Genomic DNA, 6,000 nt, shown 5'->3' with positions numbered 1-6,000 from the left:
TAGTGCATGTGATGCCCTAGTCTTGATTGACACATTGTTTTTTGTTTTTTTTCATGTGGCAATCAACCAATTGAGCCCAACAGATTACTTGGTATCCATGTGCAACATCAGTTAAATCCAGCTTGAGAAATCAACATGTCGAGGTTCAATTTATTTAGCTTGCAGGCTAAGGTTTATGGAGCTTGGGATGAATCTTTGTGTAGGTGGGTAACAGAATGTGATCTCAAAGCTGAGTGCTTCACGTTGTTAAGGTTTCACTTGCTGATGCTGTCTCAAGGTGATTAAGAGTTTTATTTTTGAAGTGGATAGGAAGGTTGGTGAGTAATAAGGATTCACTACCTCCATAAGCTGTGCTTGAACAGAAAAGCCTCTAGCAGATGTTGGCGCTGCTGTTTTCCATGCGTAAGGCCCTGGGCCGAGGTGGCTGAGCCATGCCAACAGTGCAGCATGGGGAGGGAAGCGGGCACCCACCCTCCTTTCAGATCCATGACTCCATCAGAAAGAAGAAAGGAGACATTGTGGGGCTAGTAATTTAGCAAAAGCTTTGGCTCAAGCGGACTTGAATTCTAGCCTTAATTTTTTTCATTTGGGCCATGGCATGGTCAAGAACTTACCTTGGTTTTCTCTGCTTTTATTATTATTTTTTGAGACGGAGTCTCGCTCTGTCACCCAGGCTGGAGTGCAGTGGCACGATCTCGGTTCACTGCAACCCCTGCCTCCTGGGTTAAAGCAATTCTCTCAGCCTCCCAAATAGCTAGGATTACAAGCACCTGCCACCACGCCCGGCTAATTTTTTCCTATTTTTAGTAGAGACTGGGTTTCACTGTATTAGCCAGGATGGTCTCGATCTCCTGACCTCAAGTGATCTGCCCACCTCAGCCTCCCAAAGTGCTGGGATTACAGGCGTGAGCCACAGCGCCCGGCCTTCCCTGCTTTTAAACCAGTGTATCTCTTACCTTCCCTCCTTCAGTAGGAAAGTTACTCAAAATTGCTTTCTCAAACATTTGGTGAATCATCAAAGCAGAAATGGCTTCTCCTTCTTCGGTGACACTCATTTCCCAAATTTGCCATAGGCATACATATGCCTCACTCCATGCGTGGATCCTCTTCCAGTTGACTTAATTCACAGCCTCCATCACTGTACGGACCAGGCACTTTCTTCCATTTTGAGATGGAACTTACTTCTGTTGATCCCAGCAGAACCTGCAAGGCCTCCAACTCTGTAAACAGATCCCAACCCACTTCTCTCCCCGCTTTCCCTGACTGAAGCCACCTGCAGACTCCTGGGTTGTGGAGGACACAGGTGTGTGAAATTCAATACATGTCTGTCCAATCACATCTATCCTCTCTCCCACCTTTAGTCCTCTGGGGAATGGTTCCTCCTTCATGTCAGAATTTCAGGTGTGCTTGAACCCAAAAGTCCAATGGGGCACAAATACAGCATTATGTATTTCTTGGAGAGGCCTTTAGTTTACCTTATAAAAGGCATTCTCTTCATATATATTTTTCATATATATATATGAAAATACCCCAAATCATTAACATATGTATTCTCATTGTAAAAATATACACACAAAGAAAATTCCCCTTGTCTTGCTTCCTATTCTAGTCTCCTCCCCAGAGGTGGCACTGTTAAAGAGTTTGGTATGTTTCCTGTTTCCTGTGTGTGTGTATATGTATAAGCTCATGTAGCAATAGATATTGTTTCATTTTTATCAATTTAAAGGGGGTGGGCTTACTGTTAACATTGTTTTGAAACTTTTTACACTTAAGCATGTGGAACTCTTTCCCTGTCAGATACACTGATGTGCCCCTCCTTTGTTTTTTTTGGAGAGAGTCTTGTCCTGTCACTCTGGCTGGAGTGCAATGGTGCTATCTCGGCTCACTGCAACCTCCACCTCCCAGGTTCAAGCGATTCTCCTGCCTCAGCCTCGCGAGTAGCTGAGATTACAGGCACGTGCCACCAAGCCCGGCTAATTTTTGTATTTTTAGTAGAGGCGGGGTTTCACCATGTTGGCCAGGCTGGTCTCGAACTCCTGACCTCAGGTGATCTGCCCGCCTCGGCCTCCCAAAGTGCTGAGATTACAGGCGTGAGCCACCGCACCTGGCCACTGATGTGCCTTTTTAACTGTTGCAGACATTCCATGATACAGACAAGTCATACTTTATTTAACCTGTCCCTGTTCATCGACATTCATTTCCAGTTTCCATCCTATTTAATTTTCTAGAGTCAGTTTTACCGAGATATACTTTTGTGAAAGAAAATAAGCACCGAGGACTGCACTCACACCTGCTGAAGGTCAAACCACAGAATGTTCCAATAGACTTGGATAAACAACTGCAGTCAGCATTCGCGGCTGTCAACAACTCTCAGCTGGGAATAGCCTAGTTAACTAACCAATCGGAACAGGTTTGCCATTTAGGATTTCTGCCCAGCCCAATGAAATGCCTCTGAAAACAGCGTTTTGTGGAAACTCCCTATAAAAATCCTCTACTGAGCTTGCCTTACAGTCTACTATTCAGGACTGCCTTGCTTCAGTGTACACAAATTGCAAATCTTTATTTCCCAAATAAAAGCTATTTCCCTCAACCTCTTTTTTTTTTGAGATGGAGTCTCTGTCACCCAGGCTGGAGTGCAGTGGCACCATCTTGGCTCAATGCAGTCTCTGCCTCCCATGTTCAAGTGATTCTCCTGCCTCAACCTCCCAAGTAGCCGGGATTACATGTGCGTGTCACCACACCTGGCTAATTTTTGTATTTTTAGTAGAGACAGGGTTTTGCCATGTCGGCCAGGCTGGTCTCGAACTCCTGACCTCTGGTGATCCTCCTGACTCGGCCTCCCAAAGTGCTGGGATTATAGGCCTGAGCCACCGTACCCAGACACTCTTTTAGTTAACACTTTTATGCAGTAAAACTCACAATGTGCAAGTTTTAACACACGCAGTGTCATGTAGCTGCCACCACTATCAGGATTTCCATTACCTGTGAAGTTCCCTTGTCTTTCTTTGTAGTCAACCTCAGGCAAATACTGTCCTGTGTTTTTATCCCTCTGGTTTTGCCTTTTCCAGAATGCCACATACACGGAAGCATACAGTACATACCACTAAGAGTCTGGTTTCTTTAAACCATTCCATTGTATGACTATACCACAGTTTGCTTTCTCTAGTTACAAGTTGGTGGACATTTGGATGGTTTTCTGTTTTTGGTGATTAGAATTAAAGCTGCTATAAGCCAGGAGCAGTGGCTCACGCCTGTAATCCCAGCACTTTGGGAGGCCGAGGCAGGTGGATCACGAGGTCAGGAGTTCAAGACCAGCCTGGCCAACTTGATGAAACCCCCATCTCTACTAAAAATACAAAAAAATGGCCAGGCGCAGTGGCTCACACCCGTAATCCCAGCACTTTGGGAGGCCAAAGTGGGCGGATCACCTGAGGTTGGGAGCTTGACACCAGCCTAACACGGAGAAACCCTGTCTCTACTAAAAGTACAAAACTAGCCAGGCGTGGTGGCGCATGCCTGTAATCCCGGCTACTCAGGAGGCTGAGGCAGGAGAATTGCTTGAGCCCGGGAGACAGAGGTTGTGTTGAGCCAAGATCGCACCATTGCACTCCAGCTTGGGCAACAAGAGCGAAACTCCGTCTCAGAAAAACAAAACAAAACATTAGCCAGGTGTGGCGGTGGGCACCTGTAATCCCAGCTACTCGGGAGGCTGAGGCAGAGAATTGCTTGAACCTGGGAGGCAGAGGCTGCCGTGAGCTGAGATTGCGCCACTGCACTCCAGCCCGAGTGGCAGAGTGAGACTCCGTCTCAAAAAAAAAAAAAAAAAAAAAAAAAAAATTAGCTGGTTGTGGTGGCGCATGTCTGTAATCCCAACTACTCTGGGGGCAAATCTGGAGAATCACTCGAACCCGGGAGGTGGAGGTTGCAGTAAGCTGAGATTGTGCCACTGCACTCCAGCCTGGGTGACAAGAGCGAAACTCCGTATCAAAAATAAATAAATAAATAAATAAATAAATAAATAAAACTGCTATAAATCCTTCTATACAGGCTTTTGTGTGTGCATATATGTCTTCATTTCTCCTGGGTAAGCTTCTAGGAATGGGATTGCTGGGTTGCGTATGGTAGTGTGTTTAACTTTACAATAAACTGCCAAACTGTTTTCCAAAGAACCGGTATCCTTTGGCATTCCATGAACCATGTGTGCGTTCTGGTTGCTCTGCATGCTCGGTAGCACTTGACACTGTCAGGTTTCTAAAGTTTTAGCTATTCTGGCCGGGGGCAGTGGCTCACGCCTATAATCCCAGCACTTTGGGAAGCTGAGGTGGGCGGATCACCCGAGGCCAGGAGTTCGAGACCAGCCTGGCCAAGATGGAAAAAAAACCCATCTCAACTAAAAATACAAAAGTCAGCTGGGTGTGGTGAAGAACGCCTGTGATCCCAGCTACTTGGGAGGCTGGGGCAGGAGAATCGCTTGAACTGGGGAGGCAGAGGTTGCAGTGAGCCGAGATTGTGCCACTGCACTCCAGCCTGGGTGACAGAGATATACTCCGTCTCAAAAACAAAACAAAACACCCCCTTTCCCCACCAAAAAAAAAAAAAAAAAAAGTTTTAGCTATTCTGATAGGTATGCAGCATTCTTTTGTAATTTGCATTTCTCTAATGACCAATTATGCTGAGCAGCTTTTCATGTGCTTGTTCATCTATACCTTCTTGATGAAATGTATGTTCTCACATTTATTAATTTTTTTTCTTTTTTCTACCTCGCCTGGATATTGCCTGTTTTAAAACTGAATTGTTTTATTATTTTATTAAAGTTTTAAGAGACCTTTATATAGTCTGGATACAATCCTTTATATGCGTTTCACAAATATATTCTCCTTTATATGAAGTTTCCCTTTTAGCATCACTGGTGAGAGAACATTATTTCTGAAGTGCTAATTGGCAGTTTCATGCCAGTTGTGTCTCTTGGAGGTCAACATCTGACAAATGTCTGAACATATGGCTGAGCGAGTGCTCACAAATGTCTCAGCTGTGTCTTTGGGATAGGGGTGGAGGTAATTGGTAGTCCAGAGGGGAATCTGGGGGAGTAGGCAGGCTTGAAGGCACTTGGATAAGAGTTCATTTGGTAGCCTGCTACCATTCAATCATTTGTGCCTTTTCAAAAGTCCATCTTTTCTATGTCCACTAAGTTAACAAACATTCCTTAACAATGTATGAGGGAATTTTGATGTGGTTAGGTTCATCCATTTCCCATTCTGTATTTGCTGTGTTCTTGAACCCCTATGTCCACTCCCACAGGGTGTGCACACTAGGCTGTGACACCTCTGGGAGACCAACTACTCCAGATTTTTCACCTGCAAGTGGTAAGTCAGGCCAACTTCCGTTGGTGACCCGTTATCTCTGCTTGAAAAAAGATAAGGAGATTCTCCACTTTGGCCTCAGCTCTTAGCTAGGTTCTTTAGTCCAGCTAGGAGTTACTGAGCCTCCACCAAGAAGGTGAATCATTTGACCTCATTTAGCTCCTCCTCCTTATTTATCTTTATTAGAGCTTGCAGTGATGGAGAGTAAGTGATTGGGACCTCAAACTTCTAACACATAATTCTCTCAGGCTGTTTTGGAATGCTACTCTAATTAGACTATATTAAAGAAATGTGTTCAGGGATGAGTCAACAGGAAAAAGCCTGCTGCAAATAAAGGAGTCATTGAGTTGTTGGCATCAGTTTGCACCTGTGTGCAGAGCTGATGGAGGTTAGCCCCGCCTAACACCTCATCCATTCCACTTGGGCCCAGGGTCAGATTACCTGATTCCAAGTTGCTCTATTAGACTGAGAAAATACTTAACTTGTCAAGTCACAATCCTTTACAATCTGCTGTATCTGCAGGTACACTGAAAGTGTGTGCAGGTTCTCATTCAAACCACCTGGGGAAGTAAGGCTATTAGAATTCTCTTGTATTTGCTCTTTCTGTATTTCCTGCTCTTTGACTTTTATGAACTCCTAG

This window comes from Homo sapiens, chromosome 13 (genome assembly GCF_000001405.40).
Source record: "Homo sapiens chromosome 13, GRCh38.p14 Primary Assembly".
In the NCBI taxonomy this organism is placed as follows: domain Eukaryota; kingdom Metazoa; phylum Chordata; class Mammalia; order Primates; family Hominidae; genus Homo; species Homo sapiens.
This window is presented reverse-complemented; position numbering follows the sequence as displayed.